General features: G+C 41.4%; 1 protein-coding gene across 14 annotated transcripts in view, besides 3 other annotated features; it reads left to right on the forward strand.

Moving 5' to 3' along the window:
• Positions 1-26,841, forward strand: part of FAM81A (family with sequence similarity 81 member A) — a 125,575-nt gene that overhangs the window by 71,519 nt on the left and 27,215 nt on the right. For all 14 annotated transcript variants that reach the window (XM_047432171.1, XM_047432170.1, XM_011521248.3 and 11 more), the window contains one exon: positions 22,772-22,890. In XM_047432171.1, the coding sequence (XP_047288127.1) occupies positions 22,772-22,890 (119 nt within the window). The remainder of the gene's footprint in view (positions 1-22,771; positions 22,891-26,841) is intronic.
• Positions 13,398-13,447: an enhancer, noted in NCBI's record as "active region_9494". NCBI's record gives its function as "activates an Ori minimal core promoter by ATAC-STARR-seq in GM12878 lymphoblastoid cells {active_cell/tissue: GM12878}" and the evidence as "EXISTENCE:reporter gene assay evidence [ECO:0000049][PMID:35858748]".
• Positions 13,508-13,557: an enhancer, noted in NCBI's record as "active region_9495". NCBI's record gives its function as "activates an Ori minimal core promoter by ATAC-STARR-seq in GM12878 lymphoblastoid cells {active_cell/tissue: GM12878}" and the evidence as "EXISTENCE:reporter gene assay evidence [ECO:0000049][PMID:35858748]".
• Positions 23,630-23,679: an enhancer, noted in NCBI's record as "active region_9496". NCBI's record gives its function as "activates an Ori minimal core promoter by ATAC-STARR-seq in GM12878 lymphoblastoid cells {active_cell/tissue: GM12878}" and the evidence as "EXISTENCE:reporter gene assay evidence [ECO:0000049][PMID:35858748]".

Raw genomic sequence — 26,841 nt, forward strand, 5'->3', positions numbered from 1 at the left:
AAAGTCTGTTTTATCAGAGACTAGGAATGCAACCCCTGCTTTTTTTTTTTTTGCTTTCCATTTGCTTGGTAGATCTTCCTCCATCCCTTTATTTTGAGCCTGTGTGTGTCTTTGCACATGAGATGGGTCTCCTGAATACAGCACACTGATGGGTCTTGACTCTTTATCCAATTTGCCAGTCTGTGTCTTTTAATTGGGGCATTTAGCCCACTTACATTTAAGGTTAAGATTATTATGTGTGAATTTGATCCTGTCACTATGATGTTCACTGGTTATTTTGCCCGTTAGTTGATGCAGTTTCTTCACAGCATCAATGGTCTTTACAATTTGGCATGTTTTTGCAGTGGCTGGTACCGGTTGTTCCTTTCCATGTTTAGTGCTTCCTTCAGGAGCTCTTGTAAGGCAGACCTGGTGGTGACAAAATCTCTCAGCATTTGCTTGTCTGTAAAGGATTTTATTTCTCCTTCCCTTATGAAGCTGGATATGAAATTCTGGGTGGAAAAAATTCTTTTCTTTAAGAATGTTGATTATTGGCCCCCACTCTCTTCTGGCTTATAGGGTTTCTGCCGAGAGATCTGCTGTTAGTCTGATGGACTTACCTTTATGGGTAACTCGACCTTTCTGTCTGGCTGCCGTTAACACTTTTTCCTTCATTTCAACCTTGTGAATCTGACAATTATGTGTCTTGGGGTTGCTCTTCTCTAGGAGTATCTTTGTGGTGTTCTCTGTATTTCCTGAATTTGAATGTTGGCCTGGCTAGGTTGGGGAAATTCTCCTGGATGATATCCTGAAGAGTGTTTTCCAACTTGGTTCCATTCTCCCCATCACTTTCAGGTACAACAATCCAATGTAGATTTGGTCTTTTCACATAGTCCCATATTTCTTGGAGGCTTTACTAATTTCTTTTTACTCTTTTTTCTCTAACCTTGTCTTCTTCCTTTATTTCATTAATTTTGTCTTCAATCACTGATACCCTTTCTTCCACTTGATTGAATCGGCTATTGAAGCTTGTGCATGCATCACGAAGTTCTCGTGCCATGGTTTTCAGCTCCATCAGGTCATTTAAGGTCTTCTCTACACTGTTTATTCCAGTTAGCCATTCATCTAATCTTTTTTCAAGATTTTTAGCTTCCTTGCAATGGGTTAGAACATGCTCCTTTAGCTCAGAGAACTTTGTTATTACTGACCTTCTGAAGCCTACTTCTGTCAACTCATCAAGGTCATTCTCCATCCAGCTTTGTTGAAATCACCCGTCTTCTGCATTGATCATGCTGGGAGCTGCAGACCAGAGCTGTTCCTATTTGGCCATATTGGAACACCCTCCTTTTTTTTCTTTTTTTGAGACAGGGTCTGTCTGTCACCTAGGCTGGTATAGTGCAGTGGCTCTATTACAGCTCACTGCAGCCTCAACCTCCTGGGCTCAGGTGATTCTTCCATCTCAGCCTCCTGAGTAGCTGGAACTACAGGTGCATGCCACCACATCCAGCTAATTTTTTGTAGAGACAAGGTTTTGCCATGTTGCCCAGGTTGGTCTTGAACTTCTGGGCTCAAGTGATCCTCCTGCCTCAGCTTCTCAAAGTGGTAGGATTACAGACATGAGTCACCACACTTGGCTGAGAACATACTTTGTATATTTTTAACCTCTTTACATTTTTTGAGACTTGTTTGGTGGCCTTCTGTATTCTTACTGATTTTCTTTCTTGTTCTATTAGTTATTGAAATATCCAACTCTTATTGCTGAATTGTCTGTTTCTTCTTCCAGTTTTGTCAGTTTTTGCTTCCTGTATTTGGGCACTGTTGTTAGGCTCATATACATTTATAATTGCATATATCTACCTGATGCATTGACCCTTTTGCCATAGAAAGTCTCTCTGTGTCTCTTGTAATGTTTCTTCTCTTAAAGTCTGTTTTGTCTGGTATCAGTACAGGTATTCCATCTCCTTTGTGACTACTGTTTGCATAATTCATGTTCTTTTTTTTCTGGAGAGACAAAACCTCTGTTACCCAGGCTGGAGTGCAGTGGTGCAATCATAACTCACTGCAGCGTCAAACTCCTGGGCTCAAGTGATCCTCCCACTTCAGCCTCTAAGTAGCTGGGACTACAGACACATGCTACCATGCCCTGCTAATTTTTCTTATTTTTTTTTTTTGTAGAGATGAGGTCTTGCTTTGTTGCCCAGCCTCTGCCTCTGCCTCCCAAAGTGCTGGGATTATAGGTATGAGCCACTGTACCTGGTCTCCTTTTTTTGATAATTCTCACCAAGCTTGTGCCTCTTGGCTCTGGCCTACATACATAGTTATCAAATTTCACTGTTCTTTGAGATTCTCACATGTTTACTAAGGACAAGGATTCACTCAGAATTATATCCTAATTGAAGTGCATTTGTCTTCAGGGTTCTAAGAGTTCTAGTGGATACTTCTTATGATGGTTAAAGAAAATGACTGTGTATTTGTTAGTAAGACAGTGCAATGGGTCTGTGTTGCTTTGGTGCCTTATGGTATCCATTCCAGATTTCTTTTGGTCACAGCAATTTGATTTCTTTTTGGATTTACCTTTCTTTCATTGAATACAAACTGGGATGGCTAATAATCAGGTTGCCTTATCCCCTTTTTAGCTAAAGGGGGTTGGGGCCCATAACTCAGGCTAGAGCACTGAGACCCTCCCTTTCTGGAATTTAAAACCTGAGCAGGCTGGGCTGGGCGCGGTGGCTCATACCTGTAATCCCAGTGCTTTGGGAGGCCGAGGTGGGAGGAATCGTTGAACCTCGGAGGTTGCTGCAGTGAGCCGTAGTCATGCCGGGGTACTCCAGCATGGGTAACAGAGGGAGATGCTACATTCAAAACTAAAACCAAACCAAACCAAACCAAAACATAACGAAAACCTGAGCAGGCTAATTCAAAGACTGGAAATGGCCATAGTACCTTCCTTGCAGCCACTTTGCCTGCGGGATACTGGCTAGTAGTTCCTGCTGCTTGGACCTCAGGAAATACTCTTTGTGTCTTCTTCTCAACCTGCATAACCCAGCTTCCCTGTTGATTATGTGTTCCTTTCCCCATTCCTTTTTTTTTTTTTTAAATGTTTTCTGGAGACGGGGTCTGGCTGTGCAGTGGTATGATCATAGCTCACTGTAGCCTCTAACTCCTGGGTTCAGGTGATCCTCCCACCTCAGCCTCCTGAGGAGCTGAGACTACAGGCACAGGCCACCATGCCCAGCTAATTATTTTATTTTTTGTAGAGACGGGAGTCTTGGTATGTTGTCCAATCATTTCCATTAACCCCCTTAAGTTAGTCAGGTCCAATTACCTGCAACTAAAGAAGTGCAATGACCTCAGAGGAACGTAGAAAGTTTACAAAATTGCTGTAAATAATATACTTGTCTTTGGATGCTGGTATCTATATTAAGAATGATCTTTTCAGTTTTATTTTTGGGTGCTGAGTCAGTTTTATCCCAGACGCTAAAAACTAAGCAACCCTAAGTTGACAACTGTACAAAATTGAAGAACCCCAACTCGAACATTTCAATTTTGAAAGGGATTTCAGATTTATCAAGAGACTGATAGCTCTGCTGCACCTAAATCTAACGACAGGTAAAATCCAAGTGATGGGGATCAATAAGAATTCTCAGGTTCCCATCCCCTCAACCACTGGCAAAGAAGTACAGTAGGCCCCTTTATCTGTGGCTTCACTCTCCGCAATTTCAGTTATCTGTGGCCAACCATGATCTGGAAATATTAAATGGAAAAATCCATAAATAAGCAATTGATAAGTTTTAAATTGTGTGCCATTCTGAGTAGCATGATGAAATCTTTCACCACCCGGCCTGGGTGGGACGTGAATCACTACTTTGTCCACACTGTATATGCTACCTGCCCGTTAGTCACTTAGTAGATGTCTTGATTATCAGATCAAAAAAACATAGTATATGTAGGGTTTGGTACTATCTGCAGTGTCAGGCATCCACAGGAAGTCTTGGAACGTGTCCCCTGCAGATAAGAGGGTGCCAGGGTATGTTACAAAAAATACAAACTTTTCCCATGTTTCACATTAGAAAATACTGTTACTTCCCCATTCTTAGAATACCCAGCACTTTCCTGTGGGAACTCAGCTCTGTTCCCTTTGCTTACGGGGGTGGGGGAAGACTAGAGATGGGAGTCAGTCTATTCTGACATTACCGTCCCCTCCAGGTAAAAGCACAGTATAACTCTACCCTTAAGAAATCCTGGTCTTAATTTTTTCTGTCAACGTAAGAGGTGATAGTGTTTTAGCTGCAACTGTCGGATCCAGGGAATAATTTCCTATTTGGTAGCTGCCACGTACTACTCCAGTGGCCAGAACCACTTTATTTTATTTTATTTTTTTAGAGACAAGGTCTTGCTATGTTGCCCAGGCTGGTCTTGAACTCCTGGGCCCAAGCAGTCCTCTCACCTTGGCCTCCCAAAGTGTTGGGATTACAGGCATAAGCTACAGTGCCCAGCCAGAACCATTTTAAATACATAATTTCCAACTTCAGCTGGGCCACTGATGCTATTTAACAGTTCCTTCATTTTAGGAAGCCCTCCTTGCCAGTTCCTCTCATGCCCCCAGTTTCCTTTCCCTCAGTGTATCCTGGACACTGAACTCGTGCCACTCTTACTATAGCATTTATTGAATAGGACTAACATTGTTACTTTACAAGCCTCTCAAAAAGAGAGGAACCTTGTCTTCCTCATCTTTGCATTGTCTAGTACAATATTTGGAGCAAAATGCGGTGAATGCTGTCATAGTATATTTGTGTTGCTATAACAAAATACCTGAGATTGGGTAATTTATAAAGAACAGAAATTTATTTCTCACAGTTCTGGAGGCTGGGAAGTCCAAGCCCAAGGCACTGGCATTTGGCATCTGGTGAGGGTCTTCTTGCTGCATGCTTACATGGCAGAAGGTGGAAGGGCAAGAATGATGAATCCTGTGTCCTCACATTGCAAAAGGATTGAACAGAGTGGACCTCCTCCCATAAACCCTTTTTATAAGGGCCCCAGTCCATTCAGGGTGGAGCCCTCATGACTTAATCACCTCCTGAAATACCACGCCTCTTAATACCACCACAATGGGGATTAAGTTCAACATAATTTTTGGAGGGGGTGCCATCATTCAAACCTCAGCAAATACTTATTAAGTGAATAAATGCCCAATACAGAGTGAAGCCAGTTGTAGATATGCTGGTAGCAAAAAGGACTAGAAGAGACTATGAGGTTATCAATGCAAAGAACATCCTTTTCAGATAGGCTGAGTGAAGTGGCCTGAGGTATCAAGGCCAGTTAGTGGCAGTGCTGAGAATAAACCCATGTGGCAAAACTCCAAAAATATGCTCTTTTCTCTTTTCTACTTTACCTCTTAGAAGCTCTTCTAGAACCTGATCTTCTATAATCGACTCTCAAATGTGACAGGCTGTGCTATTCAGCCATTCTTTGCTTTCTGAGTTTCAGGAAGAACTTGTTTATGAAACTAGATAATTCTAGCTTTAGTTCTCACTGAGTTCTCCCCTGACCCATCCTTGCTTTGATGAGAGATCACTTGAATTGCTTCAATAATCAGCTGTATCAAAAAATCTGCCTAAGGAATCTGAAGTCATCAATTGTTTAGGCTTTTGATAATTATTTTTTCCAAAACCTTTTTTTTTTTTGAGACAAGGTCTCACTCCCTCACCCAGGCTGGAGTGCAGTCGTGTGATCTCAGCTCACTGCAACCTCCGCCTCCCAGGTTCAAGTGATTCTCATGCCTCAGCCTCCCAAGTAGCTGGAATTTCAGGCACACCACCACACCCGGCTGATTTTTGTATTTTTGTAGAGACAGGGTTTCACCATGTTGGCCAGGCTGGTCTTGAGCTCCTGTCCTCAAGTGACCAACCAGTTATGTATGGCCTCCCAAAGTGCTGGAATTATAGGCATGAGCCACCATGCCTGGCCTAAACATGTTTCTTTAAGATGATTTTTGAAAAATTTACAATGCAGTGAGAAAGTAATTTCAATTTTGCTGTTTTCCCAACGTCCGAAACACATTTTATGTAATGGTTATTCTTGCCTTAACCAGACAGCACTCTTTTATATTTACATGTATTTTTGGAGTGTGCAATTTTGCAAGTGATGATTTCCGTGATAGACAGGGAAAACTGAGTAAAATCTAAATTTGGCAAAAAATTTAGTTTGTATTTGAGTGTTTACTTTTTTTGTAACTGGTAGTAACTATATATAATGACAAAGTAACAACAAGGAAGTTTAAAAATTTAAGACTCCAATGTGAAACACTAATTATATTGATTTATATGTATTATGAACTTAAGCATGTCTACCTAAACATGTTAGGATGCTTGATGACAGATCAGAATTGCTGTCTTATAGCCAAACTTCATTAAAATGAAATCATGATTGTCTTAGTTTAGGCTGCTATGACAAATTACCATAGACTGGGTAGCTTAAACAACAGAAATTTCTTTTTCATGATTCTGGAGACTGGGAAGTCCAAGATCAAAATGCTGGTAGATCCAGTGTCTGGTGAGACCCTGCTGCCTGAATTGTAGATGGTCGTCTTTTCGTATCCTTGCATGGCAGAAAGTAGAGAGCAGAAGCAAGACCTTCTTTTAAGGTACTAATCCCATTCGTGAAGATTCTACCCTCATGACCTAATCACCTCTTATAGGCCCCACCTCCTAATACCATCACATCAAGGGTTAGGAGTTTAACCTACAATTTTTTTTTTTTTTTTAGACTGGGTCTTGCTCTGTCATTCAGGCTGGAATGCAGTGGTATGATCATGGCTCACTGCAGCCTCAACCTCCTGGGCTCAAGTAATCCTCCTGCCTTGGTCTTCCGAAGTGCTGGGATTACAGGCATGAGCCACCACGCTTGGTGAACATATGAATTTTTGGAGGACACAAACATTCAGTCCGTAACAATGATGTAGAGTAAATTTAAAAAGTACTAAAAGGAAGTCTTCATTTATAAGTAATATAAAAATTGGCACCAGGCACGGTGGCTCACGCCTGTAATCCCATCACTTTGGGTGTGGGATCCACAAGGTGGGTGGATCACTTGAGGTCAGGAGTTCGAGACCAGCCTGGCCAACATGATGAAACCCCATCTCTCCTAAAAATATATATAAAAATTAGCTGGGCCTGATGGCATGTGCCTGTAATCCCAGCTACTTGGGAGGCTGAGGAAGGAGAATTGTTTGAACCTGGGAGGTGGAGGTTGCAGTGAGCCAGGATCATGCCACTGCACTCCAGCCTGGCTGACAGAGCAAGACTCCATCTCTAAATAAATAAATAAATTGGGAGAGTGGGCATAATATAAAACTGATACTTGGCCGGGCGTGGTGGCTCACACCTGTAATCCCAGCACTTTGGGAGACCAAGGTGGGCAGATCATGAGATCAGGAGTTCAAGACCAGCCTGGCCAACATGGTGAAACCCCATCTCTACTAAAAATACAAAAATTAGCTGGGTGTGGTGGCAGGTGCCTGTAACCCCAGCTACTTGGGAGGCTGAGGCAGGAGAATCACTTGAACCCAGGAGGCGGAGGTTACAGTCAGCCGAGATCGTGCCACTGCCCTCCAGCCTGGGCAACAGAGTGAGACTCTGACTCAAAAAAAAAAAAAGCAAAAACAAACAGAAAACAAAACAAAGAACAAAATAACCTCATACTTGTAGTATCAGTTTTAAAACAGAGGTGTGAAGATATTTAAATTGTATTTCAATGATGTAAAAGGTGTATTTTTTATTTATAGATTCTTGAAGAATATCTTCTGTAAATTGCCTGAGTTTTTATTATTATTATTATTGCTGGTTTATAGCTGTTTTTCAGTTCACGCAGTAAAATTTTACTGGGTTATTTGATTTTTGAGAATCATCCCTGCAGGTGATTTTATATTACAAAAGTAAAGCTGAAGCCATTCTTAAGATGTGAAACTTACTGCTAGACCCTGATAGAACTAGTCAAATCGAGATATATTAACACTGTATCTTGGCAAATTTGCCTAGATAAGTCTTTATGATTTTCTGTCATGTGACTCTGAACAGTTATACACTGGAAAAAAAGTAAAATATGTTTTCAAACCATTACCCTATGTGATCCTCAAGAGCTAGAACAGAGTCTTAATATTTCTATTTTCAACACCTACCAATGTCTAAGACATAGTAGGAGCTCAATAAATGTTTCATAATCAAGAGCTCTGGGTCTCCTTGCCCCTTCCAGAACCCTATAATTATTGCTTATATTCTTTCAGCAGATACCAGTGTCAAAACAGATGACTCTTGTATACTAATACACAGTAAGTGCTTGATAAATGTTGAATGGAAGAATTTATTGTTTTAATACATCTCCATCCACAGTGTCTGTTAGCGGTTTGCCTTGTGATATGGAGAAGCTTATCAATTATTTATTCCTCAGAAACTTTCCACCAATGATCATCATCATTATAAATTTAGAGGAAGTAATATAGTCAACTATGAATTATACATGTCTGGGTTATCCATACTGTCTTTGGTTTAAGCCGTTATCGGTCCCTGGAAGCCGAGCCCTGGTGAGCAGTCCGTGGTCCTTTTATTGGTGGTAAGCTTTCCTTTCCATGCCAGTTTGATGGCTGGGGGTAGTAGTTTGGACCCCCATGTCTTTTTATGGCTTTAGCTGTGTCTCTGGCCTTTGGGAACCATGCAGTGGGGTCTGCCACCTGGCTGGTTAGAATCTGCGGACCTACTTTAGTTCCCATGTGCTCAACTTCATGATGTCCTTCTGGCTTGGAATGTTGGCTTTAACCTAGTTGGGTTATGGGAAACTGTATCAAGCCCTCATCTAATTGAATATATCATACGTAGTTTGCTAGTTTAATAATTTGCAAAAGGACTACTGGAGTTTTTGAACTTGAGCGATGAGTGCAGCATTGGGCTTTACTAACATGGGAAAGCAGGGGCGTAGACAGTGATGTTAACATGTAGTCGGACTAACATACAGGACCTTGGTTCAGTGTGCTTCCAGTACTGCCAATGAGGAAAGAGTTTTGGCTACTGGACTTCATGCATTTTACTGAAAAAGGGAATTTCAGCCTGCAGCTCTGTGATCTGGTTCTATTGAAACAGGTATATCAGCGGAGGGGTTTTGGTGATTATCATCCAAATTCATTTTGTTTTCATTCTACCCACTAGATGTGGCGTGTTGTATGCCTTGACTTCGGGGGAGAAGACAGTAAATTGAATGGAATTCGAATATTTATTCAGTTCTGTTGACAGAGGTTTTTCAATGTAAATGAATAAATTAGTGTTCTGGTGTCTGCTCTGTCTCCAGTACATTTTAGCTTGTCTGAGTCCTCTTTGAGGACCTGATCATGTCTGGGAACCAGAGATTGATAACAGCTCAAATCAAAGGGATTGATAACAGCTTAAACCAAAGACAGGATGGACAGCTAGAGATAGTCTCTAAGCCTTCAACTCAGAAGACCAGATCCTAGAACATGGAGCTAAATTAATTGATAAATCACTCACTAATCCACTAACCCACTAACAGCCAGGCATTGTTAGAGGCACTGGAGCTGCAGTAATGGCCCAAGCACACAGGCCTCTGATCTTCGCCCTGCTGCACACTTTAGTGGGGTGTACAGGCAGTCAATGCTAAGTAACCAAGGTGATGTTAGCTGATGTCAAGTGCTCTGATGAGAGGATGTGATGGAGAGTGACTGTGTGGCTGTCTTAGAAAGGATGGTGGCCGGGCGCGGTGGCTCATGCCTGTAATCCCAGCACTTTTGGGAGGCCGAGGCGTGCAGATCACGAGGTCAGGAGTTCAAGACCAGACTGACCAATATGGTGATACCCTGTCTCTACTAAAAATACAAAAATTAGCCGGGTGTGGTGGCACGTGCCTGTACTCCCAGCTGCTTGGGAGGCTGAGGCAGGAGAATTGCTTGAACCCGGGAGGCGGAGGTTGCAGTGAGCTGAGATTGTGCCATTGCACTCCAGCCTGGGTGACAGAGTGAGACTCTGTCTCAAAAATAAGAAAAAAAAAAAAAAAAAAAAAAAGGATGGTAAGGGAATAAGGTGACGTGTGAATTGAGAATGGAATGACATATGGGGCCAGGCAAGCCAAGGTGGTGGTGTTGAGGGAGGAGACACCCAGGGGGATCACTCCAGAGCGAGGGCAGTTCAAGTTCCAAGGCCATAAGTAGGAAGAGGCGTGGCACGTTTAAGAAGCAGAAAGGGGACCAGTGGATGGAGTGCTGTGAGCTGGGGGAAGGGCAGCCCGTGAGACTTGAAGGTTGTGATAAGAAGTTTGGAGTCTGGAAATGGGAAGCCATTATTTAGTGTTCAGCCAAGGAATTTAAATAATCCACTCACACTCTTGTTGCTGGGGCTACATTAGTGAATAAAACACAGATAAAAGCCCTTGTCCTTGTGGATATAGACTGATTTATGTTTGAAAAAGATCACGCTGGCTACTTCGTGGAGAAGGATTTTAGGGGAGCAAGAATTGAAGCAGGGAGTCAAGTTAGGGGACTACTTCAAGGTTCAGGGAGAGGCATGGCATGGTGGAGATGGGGAGAAGATGGATTCTGGAGTGATTTTGGAGATAGAGCTGACAGGACTTCCTGCCTATTGGAGGGAGAGACTTCTATCAAATGGTGGAAATGCCAAGAAGGCAATTTGATATATGAGGCTGGAACTGTGGTAAAAAGCCCTGTAGGGGAATACTACCTTATAATTCGCTGCTCTGCTGTAGTTGGGCCTTTCTCTAGGTGATTTGAAATTATACTTCCTCATTTCCAAACCCTTCCCAATCTAGGAAGAGTTGGAGAAGGAGGAACATGGAGAGCTGTTTCTTTCCTGGTTCCTGGCAACGCTGGCCTGTCTGGGGGGCTTAGATGTCCCAGGGGATTGGTTGTCATCACCTTTGCATAAACTGCATTATACAGCACATTGAGGCTCCCACAGAAGTCCCTATTCCAAGCCGTTTTGGGAAGGGAGGTTTTTTAAAGATAGGCCGTATCTTTGAAAAAATAAATGAGGACTTGGGACATCACTTTTTCAAGGTGGCTAGCTTCTGCTCCGTGCTTGTGTGAAGCATGTTTATTGTGTGCACCTGGACAATGCACTTTCCACCCTTTAGTTTTTCTTGCTGCAAGAAAAGCAAGAAAGCTCCCTGAGGGTATGCCTGATGCTCAGCACACAGTAGGTGTGCAAAAACAAGTTTCTTGAATTGAATTGAAAATAATGGAGAAGCAATGCCATATATAACGATATAATCTTTTTAAAAATAAATGCATCATGATGATATATTGTTCCAAAATGACAAATTCAGGAACATTATTGACTTTACAAAGGAATTACTTTTCTAAGTTTTCATTCTAGAATGTATTTAAGTAATAAGCCGTCTAACACCTTCTGTTTTCATATTACTTTCTAGTAACATGAATACTTTGTTAATGTCAGGTAGGATTCTTTCCTGTATTCTTCAAAGCACTTCTTTCTTAAATTTTTATTCATTTGTTTTTTGAGACAGGGTCTTGCTCTGTTGCTCAGGCTGGAGTGCAGTTGTGGGAACATGGCTCACTGCAGCCTCTGCCTCCCAGGTTCAAGCAATCCTCTTGCCTCAGCCTCCCGAATAGCTAGGACCAGGGGTGTGCACCACAACTCTTGGCTAATTAAAAAAAAAATGTGTGTAGAGACAGGGTTTCACCATGTTGCCCAGGCTAGTCTCAAACTCCTGGGCTCAGGCAATCCTCCTGCCTCGGTCTCCCAGAGTGCTGGGATTACAGGAGTGAGCCATCGCACCCGACCCCAGAGCGGTTCTAATACAATACCTTATTAATCTGCATAAGAATTTGGAGAGTTAAATGGGCTTTTTTAAATTTCTAAGCATTTTTTAAAGCACATTTTTTTTTCTGGCTATAAAAGTAATGTATGTCCATTGTTGGACATACAAAAAAAAAGAATAAACCATAATTCCACCCTAGAGATAAGCAAAACTTTCACATTCTAGTATTTTATATGCCTCTTAATACACAGCTGGAATCATGCTCCATATTTATTTTCTATGCTTTCTTTTTGCTTAGTATTAAGTTGTACACACTTTCCCTTGTTGCTAAAAACCCTTTATGAACATCTTAGTGTTTCCATAATAATGTACCTTGTGAAATACTTGACATGTGTATCACACTCTGAAGACATCTTTATGCATACATTTTTCTTATTATTTCATTTAATATTAATTCCAAGAACTAGAGTTACTGGGTCAAAGGTTATGAACATTATGAATATATATTTTTTGGCATTGGTCTCCAGGAAAGTTGTATTGGGAAGGGCCAGCTGTGCCTTTTTTATTTCTATTTTTTAGGCAAGCAGAAGATGCTGAAACCTTTTTGATTTTTGATATATTTTTAATATTATAGATTTAAAATATTTGCTTCTTTAATAAGTGAAAATGCTATTTTTGAGGTTTAAAAAATAGACTTTATTTTTTAGAGCATTTTTTGGTTCATAGCAAAATTGAGCAGAAAGTATACTCTCTGCTCCCACACATGCGCAGCCTCTCCCACTATCAACATCCCACACCAGAGTGGTATGCTATAATAGTATGATTTGTACTTCTTATTTCTTTGCTTTACTAGAAAGGTTGAACCTTTTAAAAAATGTGTGTTTTTTTAAGCCCCTTTTTTTGTGAATTGCTTTCCATTTTCATTGCTTAGAGATTGAAAAACAACTCAGATGAAATAAGATTGGTTATAGCCTTTGTCATTTCTGAAGTGTCTATTTTGTTTTGTTTTTTGAGATGGGGTTTTGCTCTTGTCATCCAGGCTGGAGGACAATGGTGTGATCTTGGCTCACTACGATCTCCACTACCTGGGTCCAAGCAATTCTCCTGCCTCAGCCTCCTGAGTAGCTGGGATTACAGGTGCCCGCCACCATGCCTGGCTAATTTTTGTATTTTTAGTAGAGACGGGGTTTCACCATGTTGGCCAGGCTGGTCTTGAACTCCTGACCTCAGGTGATCCACCTGCCTTGACCTCCCAAAGTGCTGGGATTATGGGCGTGAGCCACCATGCCCAGCTCTATAGTGTCTAATACAGTGTATTAGGCGCTGGGCTCGTTCTCTAGCTTTGGTTTTCTGGAGATGGGGTCCAAGAATTTGCATGCGTAACAAGCCATCTGGGTGAGACTTATGTATCCCAAAGATATTTGAGAACCACTGGTCTTATGCCTTACTATAGGCAAAGGTTTGCACCACTACATACAAAAAGAATAAGTGTTACTTTCTATTGACTCTAACTAATAGGTGTTACTTCCTATTAAGAGAGAGTGCACCGGAGCTTGCCAGCGCCTTCTCATCAGTGGGAGAGTGCCAGAACCACATTAGTCAGATGCGAAGTTGTCTTGCAAGAATGTATTCATATGACTCACATTTTGTCATTCACAGGTGATTGTAACTAGTTTGTGTTCCTCTTCATAGAGCAGGTTCATTGAGAAAAAGCTGGAAGCTACAGAAATAATAGATAGGTCTTGCAATTCTAAATTCTTTCTGGTGAATTTTTTTTTTTTTTGACGGAGTCTTGCTCTGTTGCCCAGGCTGGAGTGCAGTGGCACAATCTCGGTTCACTGCAACCTCTGCCTCCTGGGTTCAAGCAATTCTTCTGCCTCAGCCTCCTGAGTAGCTGGGACTACAGGTGCGTGCCATCACGCCTGACTAATTTTTGTATTTTTAGTAGAGACGGGGGTTTCACCATTTTGGCCAGGCTGGTCTCGAACTCCTGATCTTGTGATCCACCCGCCTCGGCCTCCCAAAGTGCTGGGATTACAGGTGTGAGCTACTGTGGCCGCCCAGTGAAATTTTCCTTTTTACTGTCAGTGCCTCAAGCAGGTTTCCACTGAGGGAAACACAGAATATTTACATTCCTAATTTCTTTTTTTTTACTAAGAAGTTTGAAAATCCTGAAAAAAATACACAAGTATTTTCTTTATGTATGTTATACTTCAAAAAAGAAAAGAAAATAGAGTTAAGAAGAGGGAGCACAAAAACAAATTATGTAAGCATAATTACATCTCTACTTGGGCTTTCCTATTCATTTCCAAATGGGCCTGCAAATTGTCAGTACATCAGAAACCATCAAAATTTCTAGAAATAAGTAGTAACAAGCAGATACCCAGGAATGTAATCTCAAGAAACCCTTGGATTGGTGCAGAAGGCAAGAGAAGATGGTGGTTTAGTGTGCCTGTCTCTAGTCTGTTCCCAATCCAGGTGCTACCTTCCTGAACAGTTGGGATAGGCAGGCAGGAAAGCCTGGGGAGCCAGCAGGATCCCATGGTTAGGAGTCTCAGGAGGAGGGTCCAGGCTCACTGCTTCGCACCCTATAACTAAGCCAGTCTCCTGCCCCATGGAGGGGTGGACAGGTTGTAGGGGCGGGCTCGTTCCCCACTGCCTCTCAGCTGGGAGAGCTGAGGGAATAGGATGTAAAGAGGCATCCTCCTGGTACCTCACCTGGAGACAGGCCCTGTGCTTCCCACTGGCTGCACCACCCGTCCACAAGCCCCTTCCACTACTCTCAAGACTACCTACTTAAGGCACTCCAGTGAGTAGAGAGAGCAAAGTCACATAGCATCTAATGGGGCCCTGCAGCCACAAGGAGGAAGAATAAGTACTGCCCTTAAAACAGGTGCAGATGAAATAGAAAACAGGTAGGCCTTGAATAAAAAATAATTCCTACATTTAAGGAGATCCAAGTGTCACATAAAATTTCTTCTTGAACTTAAATTTCTAAAAGTCAGTAGATGGACAGGAGGGCAGAGGAAGATGGCAGAATAGAAGCCTCCACCAATTGTCCTCCCCACATGAACACCAAATTTAACAACTGTCTACAAAATAAAGCACCTTCATGAGAACCAAAAAGCAGGTAAGCGATCACAGTACCTGATTTTAACATCATATCACTGAAAGAGGCACTGAAGAGGGTAGGAAGGACAGTCTTGAATCACCAACACCACCCCTCCACCATTCCCTGTCAGCGGACCACATGGCCCGGAGAGAGAATCTGTGTGCTTTGAGGAGGGAGAGTGCAGTGTTTATGGGACATTGTTTTGGAATGCAGGGCAGCCAACCAGCAGTGATAAGCAAGTAGTGTGCCATGGGCCTTGGGTAAGACTCAGACATTCTGGCTTTAAGGGTGCCTCTGCACTTTCACAGCCGTGGTGGCTGTGAGGAGAGATTTCTTCTGCTTGAGAAAAGCAGAGGGAAAAGTAAAGGGGACTTTGTCTTTAGCTTAGGTACCAGCTTGGCCACAGTGGAGAGGAGCACCAAGAAGTCTTTTGGGGTCCCTGACTCCAGGCCTTGGCTCTTGGACTCTTGGATCTCTAGATGTACCCTGGGCTAAAGGCGGGCCCGCTGCTCTGAAGGGTGAGTCCCAGGCCTGACAGGATTCACCACAAACTGAATAAAGAGCCCTTGGGCCTTAGGTGAACAATGGCAGTAGCATGGCTTTATTCCCTTTGGGCATGTGGTAGACGTAGGGAGACTCCTCACCCTGGGGAAAGTGGAGGGAAGAGTGGGAAGGACTTTGGTGGTTTCGGCACTAGCTCAGCCACAGTAGAATAGAGTACCAGGTAGATTTCTAAGGTTTCTGATTCTAGGCCCAGGCACCTGGACAGCCTCTCTGGACCTGCGTGGAGCCTGGGGGAACTCATTGCCCTTAGGGGAAGGACACAAGCCTGGCTGGCTTCACCACTTGCTGATTGTAGAGCCCTAGGGCCTTGAGTGAACATACGGGTAGCCATGTAGTGATTACAGCAGGACTTGAGCAAGATTCGGTGCTGTGCTGGCTTCAGGTCAGACCCATCAGAGTCCCAATGGTGGTGGGTACAGAGGTGCTTGTGCCCCACTTCCCAGCTCCAGGTAGCTCAGCACAAAGAAAGAAAGACTTTGCTTGTTTGGGAGAAAGTAAGGGAAGGGAAGGAGAGTCTCTGCCTGGTAATCCAGAGAAATCTTCTGGATTTTATCCAAGACCACCAAGGTAGTACTTCTACAAGTATGCAAGAACTACAGTGTTATTGGGCTTGGGGTACCCCCTAATGCAGATATGGTTGCAGTGACCGAAAACTTAGATTACTTAACACCCAAGTCCCTTTGAATATCTGGAAAGCCTTCGCAAGAAGAATGGGTACAAACATTGACTAACATCCACAAGCATCAAGACCATCTAGGAAAACATGACCTCACCAAATTAACTAAATAAGACACCAGAAGTCAATCCCAGAGAGACAAAGATATGTGACCTTTTAGACAGAGAATTCAAAATAGCTGTTTTGAGGAAACTCAAAGAAATTCAAGATAACACCGAGAAGGAATTCAGAATCCTATCAGATAAATTTAACAAAGAAATTGAAATAACTGGCCAGGTGCAGCGGCTCATGCCTGTAATCCCAGCACTTTGGGAGGCCAAGGCGGGTGGATCACCTGAGGTCAGAAGTTCGAGACCAGCCTGGCCAACATGATGAAACCCCATCTGTACTAAAAATACGGAAATTAGCCAGGTGTGGTGGTGGGTGCCTGTAATCCCAGCTACTCAGGAGGCTGAGGCAGGAGAATCGCTTGAACCCAGGAGGCAGAGGTTGCAGTAAACCAAGATCATGCCACTGCACTCCATCCTGGGCAACAAGAGCAACACTCTGAAGAAAGAAAGAAAGGAAAGAAAGGAAGGGAAATAATTAAAAAGAAGCAGAAATTCTGGAGTGGAAAAATGCTAGTGACATACTGAAGAATGCATCAGTCTGTTAGCAGAATTGATCAAACAGAAGAAAGAATTAATGAGCTTGAAGACAGGCTATTTGAAAATACACAGAGGAGACAAAAAAAGAATGAAAAAAATGATGCACACCTACGAGATCTAGAAAGTAGCTTCAAAAGGACAAATCTAAAAGTTATTGGTTTTTAAGAGGAGGTAGAGAGAGAAATAGTGGTAGAAAGTTTATCAAAAGGGATAACAGAGAACTTCCCAAACAAAAGATATCAAAATTCAAGTACAAGAAATCAAAATTCAAGCACAAGAAGGTTATAGAACACCAAGTAGATTTAACTCAAAGAAGACCACCTCATGGCATTTAATAACAAAACTCCCAGAGGTCAAGGATAAAGAAGGGATCCTAAAGGCAACAAGACAAAAGAAACAAATAACATACAATGGAGCTCCAATAAGTTTGGCAACAGACTTGTGGCATGACGTCTTTAAAGTGCTGAAGGAAAAAAAAACTTAGCATAAAACCTACCATAGTGTATCTGTTGAAACTATACTTCAAACTTGAAGGAGAAATAAAGACTTTCCCAGACAAACAAAAGCTGAGGGATTTATCAACACCAGGCCTGTCCTACAAGAAATGCTAAAAGGAGTTCTTCAACATTCAAGAAAAGAATGTTAATGAGCAATAAGAAATCATCTGAAGGTACAAAACTCACTGGTAATAGTAAGTACACAGAAAAACGCAGAATATTATAATACTGTAATTGTGGTATGTAAACTATTCCTTATCTTAAATAGAAAGATGAAAAGATGAACCAATCAAAAATAATAACTTTTCCAGACATAGACAGTACAATAAGATATGAATAGAAACAACAAAAAGTTAAAAAGTGTGGAGATGATGTTAAAGTATAGAGTTAGCAGCACTCCTGAATATATATATATATTTTATATATATATTATATATATATCTTATATGTATATTATATATATATTATATATATATTAGTATAGAGTTTTTTATTAGTTTTCTTTTTGCTTGTTTGTTTGTTTATAAGTGCCTACATCAAAAAAGAAGAAACCTTCAAATAAACGATCTAAGGATATGTCTTAAAGAATCAGAAAAGCAAGAGCAAACCAAACCCAAAGTTAGTAGAAGAAAGGAAATAATGAAGATCAGAGCAGACATAAGTGAAATGAGAACAATTTAAAAAAATCAATGAAACAAAAAGTTGGGTTTTTGAAAAGATAAACAAATTGACAAACTTTAGCTAGACTAAGAAAAAAACAGAAAAGACCCAACTAAATAAAATCAGAGATGAAAAAGGAGACCTTACAACCCATATCACAGAAATTCAAAGGATCATTAGAGGCTACTAGGAGCAACTATATGCCAAAAAACTAGAAAACCTAGAAGAAATGGATAAATTCTTAGACACATACAACCTACCACAATTGAATAATGAAGAAATCCAAAACCTGAACAAACCAGTAACAAGTAACGAGATTGAAGCCATAATAAAAACCTCCTAGCAAAGAAAAGCCCTGGACCCAATGGCTTCTCTGCTAAATTTTACCACATTTAAAGAGAATTAATAGCAATCATACTGTAACTATTCTGAAAAGTAGAAGAGGAGGAAATACTTCCAAACTCATTCTATGAGGCCAGTATTACCTTGGTACCAAAATTAAAGATGCAAAACAAAAACAAAAACAACAACAAAAAAACAAAAAACCTACAGGCCAATATCCCTGTTGAACACTGATGCAAAAACCCTCAACAAAATACTGGGAAACTGAATTCAGCAACATGTTAAAAAGATCATTCATCATTAACAAGTGGGATTCATTCCAGGGATGCAAAGATGGTTCAACATATGCAAATCAATCAGTGTGATACATCATATCAACAAAATGAAAGACAAAAAGCATATGATCATATCAACCGATGCTGAAAAAGCATTGGATAAAATTCAACATCCCTTCATGAGAAAAACCCTCAAAAAACTAGGTATACAAGGAACACATCTCAACATAATAAAAGCCATATATGACAGACCCACAGTTAGTAATATACTAAATGGAGAAGACAGGAAAGCCTTTATCTAAGATCTGGAACACAAAAAGGATGCCCACTTTTACTGCTGTTATTCCACATAGTACTAGATGTCCTAGCTAGAGCAATCAGACAAAAGAAAGAAAGAAAGGGCATCCAAATTGGAAAGGAAGAAGACAAATTATTCTTGTTTGCAGATGATATGATCTTATATTTGGAAAAGCCTAAAGACTCCACCAAAAAACTATTAGTACTGATAAACAAATTCAATAAAATTTCAGGATACAAAATCAACATACAGAAATTAGTGGCATTTCTATATGCCAATGGGGAACAATCTGAAGAAGAAATCAAGAAAGTAATCTCATTTCCAATTGCTGTAAATAAAATTAAATACTGGCCAGGTGCTGTGGCTCACGCCTATAATCCCAGCACTTTGGGAGGCCAAGGTGGGCAGATTACTTGAGCTCAGGAATTTGAGACCAGCCTGGGTAACATGGCGAAACCCTGTCTCTACCAAAAATACGATAAAATAGCTGAGCGTGCTGCTGTGTGCCTCGGGAGGCTGAGCTGGGAAGATTGCTTGTGCCTTGGGGGCAGAGGTTGCAATGAGCCAAGATTGTGCCACTGCTTTCCAGCCTGGGTTCAGCGCAAGACCCTGTCTCAATAATTAAATAAATAAATATAGGCTGGGTGCGGTGGCTCACGCCTGTAATCCCAGCACTTTGGGAGGCTGAGGCAGGCGGATCACGAGGTCAGGAGATCGAGACCATACTGGCTAACACGGAGAAACCCCATCTCTACTAAAAATACAAAAAATTAGCCGGGCATAGTGGCGGGCGCCTGTAGTCCCAGCTACTCGGGAGGCTGAGGCAGGAGAATGGCATGAACCTGGGAGGCGGAGGTTGCAGTGAGCCGAGATTGCGCCACTGCACTCTAGCCGGGACAACAGAGCGAGACTCCATCTCAAATACATACATACATACATACATACATACATACATACATACATACATATATACATACATACATACATACCTGTGAATTAACCAAAGAAGTGAAAGATCTCTACAATGAAAACTATAAAACATTGATGTGAGAAATTGGAGAAGACTCATAAAAATGGAAAGATATTCCATGTTCGTGGTTTGGAATACATAATATTGTTAAAATGTCTGTACTACCTGAAGCAATCTACAAATTCAATGCAATCCCTATCAAAATACCAATGACATTCTTCACAGAAATAGAAAAAAAAAATCCTAAAGTTCACATGGAACCACAAAATACCAAAATAGCCAAAACTATCCTGAGCAAAAGAACAAAACTGGAGAGGTCACATTACCTGACTTGCAATTATACTACAGAGCTACAGTAACCAAAACAGCATGGCACTGGCATAAAAATAGACACATAGACCAATGGAGCAGAATAGAGAACCCAGAAACAAATCCATACATCTACAGTAAAATCCTTTTTGAAAAAGGAGCCATGATCATGCAATGGGGAAATGACAGTCTGTTCAATAAGTGGTGCTGGGAAAACTGAATATCCATATGCAGAAGCATGAAATTAGACCCCTATTTCATACCATGTACAGAAAATCAAATCAAAATGGATTAAAGATTAGAGAGGAGCAGAAAAGATAACTGTTGGGTACTGGGCTTAATGTACAGAATCTGTACAACAACACATTAAACCCAGTATACAATAGTTGTGTTTAATTATCTCACAGAAATAATCTGTACAACAAACATCCATGGCACGAGTTTACCTATGTAAAAAACCTTCACATGTACCCTGAACCAAAAATAAAAGTTGAAAAAAAAAAAACTTAAATCTAAGACCTCAAACTATGAAACAACTAAAAGAAAACATTGGATAAACTCTCTAGGACATTGGAGTGGGCAAAGATTTCTTGAGAAATACCCCTCAAGCACAGGCAACCAAAGCAAAAATGGACAAATGGGATCAAATTAAGTTAAAAAGCTTCTGCACATCAAAAGAAGAACAAAGTGGAGGGAGAACGTAGTTGCAAACTCTCCATCTGACAAGGGATTGATCACCAGAATATATAAGGAGCTCAAACAACTCTATAAGAAAAAAATCTAATAATCTGTTTAAAAAATGGGCAAAAGATCTGAATACACATTTCTCAAAAGAAGACATAGAAATGGCAAACACAGGTATATGAAAAGGTGCTCAACATCATTGATCATCAGAGAAATGCAAATCAAAACTACATGAGATATTGGCTGAGTGCAGCGGCTCACACCTGTAATCCCAGCACTTTGGGAGGCCGAGGTGGGTGGATTACTTGAAGCCAGGGGTTTCAGACCAGCCTGGTCAACACGGTGAAACTCCATCTCTACTAAAAATACAAAAAAAATTTAGCCTGGCATGGTGATGCATGCCTGTAATCCCAGCTACTTGGGAGGCTGAGGCATGAGAATCGCTTGAATCCAGGAGGTGGAGGTTGCAGTGAGCCGATATCATGCCACTACACTCCAGCCTGGGTGACAGTGAGACTTAGTCTCAAAAAGCAAACAAACAAAACTACAATGAGATATCATCTCACCCCAGTTAAAATGGCTTTTATCCAAAAGACAGGCAATATCAAATGCTGGCAAGGATATGGAGAAAAGGGAGCACTCATACAGTGTTGGCGGGAATGTAAATTAGTACAACCACTGTGGAGAACACTTTGGAGGTACCTCACAAAACTAAAACAGAGCTACCATATGATTCAGCAATCCCACTGCTAGGTATATACCTACAAGAAAGGAAATCAGTATATGGAAGAGATATCTGCACTCCCGTGTTTATTGCAGCACTATCCACAATAGCCAAGATTTGGAAGCTACCCAAGTGTCCATCAACAGGCAAATGGATAAAGAAGTGTGGTACAGATACACAATGGAGTGTATTCAGCCGTAAGAAAGAATGAGGTTCTGTCATTTGCAAAAACATGGATAGAACGAGAGGTCATTATGTTAAGTGAAATGAAATAAGCCAGGCACAGAAAGATAAGCTTCGCATGTTCTCACTCACTTGTGGGAGCTAAAAATTAAAACAATTGAACTCACGGAGATAGAGAGTAGAATGATGGTTACCAGAGGCTGAGAAGGATAGTGGGGGGTGGGGTGGAAATGTGGATGATTAATGGGCATTAAAAAATAGTTAGAATTAATAAGATCTAGTATTTGATAGCACAACAGGGTGACTGTAGTCAATAATAATTTAATTGTACATGTAAACATAACTAAAAGAGTATAATTGGGTTGTTTGTAATAGAAACAGTAAATACTTGAGGTGAGGGATACCTCATTCACCCTGATGTGATTATTACACATTGCATGCCTGTATCAAAATAGCCCATGGCTCAAACCTGTAATCCCAGCACTTTGGGAGGCCAAGGTGTGCGTGTCACCTGATGTCAGGAATTCAAGACCAGCCTGGCCAACATGGCGAAACCCCATCTCTACTAACACAAACTCCGTCTCTATTAAAAATGCAAAACTTAGCCAGGTGTGATGGCACATGCCTGTAATCCCAGCTGCTCGGGAAGCTGAGGCAGGAGAATTGCTTGAACCTGGGAGGCAGAAGTTGCAGTGAGCTGAGATTGTGCCACTGCACTCCAGCCTGGGCAACAGAGCAAGACTCCATCTCAAAAAAAAAAGAAAAAAGAAAAAAGAAAAAGAAAGTGGCTTCATTACTAAGGAAGAAATACTAAAACCAAAGGAACTTAGTTTTTAATGGTAAATAAAGGGACTTGCTCTGGGAGGAGCCTCTAAGGTCTCTCTCTGTCTAGGCCCCCTAGTTCTCTGTTTAAGTGTGCCTTAGGTGACTGTTGAAAAGGAGTCTCTTATGAAAGACTGAGTTAAACATTCTTATTTTTGCCAAAAGTATAAAATGCTTTTGTGGAAGCACGTGAATTCTTAGATGACTCCCTTAGTGTTTTTTATGTTGCCCAGGTACTCCAGGAGCAGATTCGTGCCCGGGACAACATTAGCTATGGAACTAATTCTGCCTTAAAGACCCTGGAGATGCGCCAGCTCTCCGGTTTGGGAGATCTTCGAGGAAGAGTGGCAAGGTAGGTGTTCAAATGTTGGGGTCTCTGCTCATCAAAAACCATTTTCTATAAACTCCATTATAGTGGGGAATATATTAATGAAGCCCCAAAGCAAATGGCTTGCATTCCTTTAGTACATTCCCTCCCTGCTTTGGCCATAAAATCCAGTGGTAGGAGTTAAACCTGGTTGTGAGGGTGCCATGGGTTTCTTTTGTTACGCAATTGGTGTTGTCTTCCTGGGAAGAAATGATGGGAGAACTCACTCAGCTGACCTTGTAATTTGATAGGGTAAATACTAAGTTTATCGAATCCGAAAATATAAAGTTGAGATAGTTTGTATGTCATTTTGGAAATTTAATTTTTCCTGTTATTCATTTTTATTTTATTTTCGGAAAGTATTGGTCTGGGAAAGATTGGAAACTTAGAAAAAAGATCTTTCTTCTCAGTATGAAAAGTGCTATTTTCTCAAAGTGTGCTGCATGGACCAGCAGCCTCAACAGCACCTGGGACCTTGTTAGAAATGTACTGTCTCCAGCCCACCCTGCAACTACTGAGTTAGAATCTGCATTTTAACAAGATCCCTGAATTCATATGCATGGGAAAGTCCGGGAAGCACTGTACCAGGACTGTGTCTAGGGCTATTTTTATCTGGCTGGGACAAATTTGTCCGAAGTATTTATGGGCCTCTTCTGCCCTCTGCTGGGCCTAAGAGCCAAGCACATTAATGCATATCAGCACCGGAGCTGAGGAGCAAATGGCACTTCCCGTCAGCCTGAGGTGGCAATGAGGGTGGTCTGCATGGAGTCGGGTGGAAGAAAGAACAAGGACCTCCTGCATGCAAGGCCTCTGGAGCAGGGAGGAGTAGTATTAGGGTGTCTTTGTGCAGACAACGTGTCGAGGGCCTTGAATGCTGGACATGTGTGTTTGAGTCTGCTGGGTAAAGATCTGTCTATAATAGCAGAGGGCTGCATGGATTGGATGGGGAACAGGTTGATCACTCTCCTTCTGTGATTTTCTGTCCTCATCAGGATGAACTCCAGTCTCCTTAGTGTGATCCTTGGTGATGACACCCTGTTGACTCCCTCTTCTCTCTCTACCCTTGCACTGTACCTTTCAGCAGTGATCAACTTTTTTGTTAGTCCCTGAATAAACCATGCTCTTCTATTGCTCCACCTTTGTACATGCTGTTCTCGTACCTAGCATGCCTTTCCTCCTCCTTTTCTTTTCTTTTTATTTTTGAGACAATTCTCACTCTGTCTGCCAGGCTGGAGAGCGGTGGCACAATCTCGGCTCACTGCAACCTCCGCCTCCTGGATTCAAGCGATTCTCCTGCCTCAGCCTCCCGAGTAGCTGAGACTACAGGCACTCGCCACCACGGCCAGCTAAGTTTTGTATTTTTAGTAGAGATGAGGTTTTACCATGTTGGCCAGGCTGGCTTCTAACTCCTGACCTCAGGTGATCCGCCCACCTCGGCCTCCAAGAGTGCTGGGATTACAGGTGTGAGCCACCGCGCCCGGCCTCCTCCTTCTTTTCTAACTTCTTTTCAGTCTTTAAAGTTCAGCTGAAGTGTCACCCCCTCTGGGAGTCTTCCCTGACACCCCCACTCCATAGAGCTCTCCTAGCACTCACTGCTCTATTGAGTCTCTCCAATGTCTTCCTCACTCTGCTACCTTTACTATGTTGAAGGGGGATTCCAGATATGTTACCTGTCTATAGCTAAGTGCCTGGAACGGTCTCTGGAAAACAGTAGATACTCAACATTCATCATCAATTTGGATGAAGAAATGACCTGGAAACTCACTATAATAGGACTGGAAAACCTTGACTCCTTGTTTATGCATTTCGGCTTAAAAGAAATCCCAGCTCTGTGATACCTCTCAGAACAGCAGGGAGTTAGAAGAACTTGCGAGCTATAGGACAGAGTAGGGACTTTAGGAGGACTCTGAGGATCTTCGTAGCCGCTTGAGTTGCGGATGAAGATCAAGTGGGAGAATACATGTGAGAGGCTTGGTGCCCTGCATGCGATGAAAAGGGCCTGCAACCAGTGGTGGCTTTATCATCTCAGGGGCAAGAGCAGTGGCATTGTCCTTATGATGCTGGTTCTAATACAAAGTAGAAAAATTATTTTGAAATACTTTCAGGAATCTTATATTCTTCAGTTTCTTATCAACTTCTCTACTCAACTTGTTGCTTCCCTGTAACAAAAACTTTCACTCTAAAGGCATCAAAAGTGTTTGTTATGAGTACTAAATATTTTTGCTTTGTTTTTTTGGCTATATTAGAATGCTGATGAGACTTGATTGTTGAAATGAATTCATGTGAAATAAAAATTCTTTGGAAAAGTTTCTTGGCTTTCTTGTGTTGATTATGTAATTGTATTGGAGGGGTATGAACATTTTAAGTGGTATTCTTAAGACACTAGGTTGCTATATTATTTCATATTTAATTTTATAGTTTTTATGTGTCCATTGGTGATGTAATTAGTAGCAAATGGGCCTTGATTTTTTTCCCCTGTAAATCCAGCTCAGAAGGGCAAAGGCAAGTTCTCCATAAAGATGAGATACACATTTAGCTCATGTGGCATACCGTGTTCTAAACAGGACTTGATCAGACCTGAAGGCCCGATACATAGCCTCCTTTCTCTCTCCTCTCTCTCTCTGAACACCTTTAGTGAGATCTAACTATATAAGTCACCTACTTAAAGCACACAATTCAGTGATTTTTAGTGTATTCACACAGTCATGTAGTCATCACCACAATCGATTTCAGAACGTTTTTATCATCCAAAAAGAAACCCCATACCTGTTAGCTGTCACTCCCCATTTTTCCCCAGCCTCCCCAGTTCCCCAGTCCATGGCAGGCCTACATTCTCTGTCTGATGGATTTCCCTCTTCTGAGCATTTCGAGTGAATGTGTTCCCTTGATTCTGGCTTCTGACACTTAGCATCATGTTTTCAGGGTTCATCCATGTTGTAGCATGTATCAGCACTACATTCCTTGTTATGGCTGCATAGTACCTCATTGTGTACTGCATTTTAAAAACCTGTTCATCAGTTGAACGTTGGGGTTGTTTCCACTTTTGACTATTTTAAATAATGCTGCTGTGAACATTTGTCTATTTGTTTTTGTGTGCTCATAGGTTTTCATTTCTCTTGGATATGTACCTAGAATGAAAAAGCTGAGTAACATGATAACTCTATATTCAACTTTTGAGGAACAGCGCAGCTAGACTGTTTGCCGAAGTGGCCGCCACTTTACATTGCCCCCAGCAGTGTCTGAGGGCTCCGATTCCTTCACATCCTCACTAACAGTTGTTTTCTATCTTTTCGATTATAGCCATCCCAGTGGGTTTGAAGAGGTATCTCATTGTGGTTTTGATTGCATCCCCCTGAGGACTAATGGTGTTGAACATCATTTAATGTGCTTGCTCGTCATTGGCATATCTTCTTTAGGAAAATATTTATTCAGATTCCTTGCCCATTTTTAAATTGGGTAATTGTCTTTCTATTATTGAGCTGTAGGAGTTTTAAAAATTATATATTCTAGATATAATTCCCTTATCAGATATCTGATTTGAAAAATTACTGTCCCATTCTAAGGGATGTCTTTTCATTTTCTCATGTCTTTTGAAACTTAAAAATTTTTAATCTTGCTTATATCTAACATCTATCTTTTCTTCAGTTGCTAGTGTTTGGGGTGTCATATTTAAGAAACTCTTGCCTAATCCAGGTCACAAAGATTTATGCCTATATTTTCTTTTTAAGTTTTATAGTTTCAGCTCTTACATTTAGGCCTGTGATCCATTTTTAGTTAATTTTTTTGTATATAGTATAAGGTAAGGTTCCACATTTATTATTTTCCTTGTAGATATCTATTTATCCCAGCATAATTTGTTGAAAAGTCTATTCTTTCCCCCATCAAATGGTCTTGGCACCCTAGTTGAAAAATCACTTGGCGGCCGGGAGCGGTGGC

Source organism: Homo sapiens, chromosome 15 (assembly GCF_000001405.40).
Source record: "Homo sapiens chromosome 15, GRCh38.p14 Primary Assembly".
NCBI lineage: Eukaryota > Metazoa > Chordata > Mammalia > Primates > Hominidae > Homo > Homo sapiens.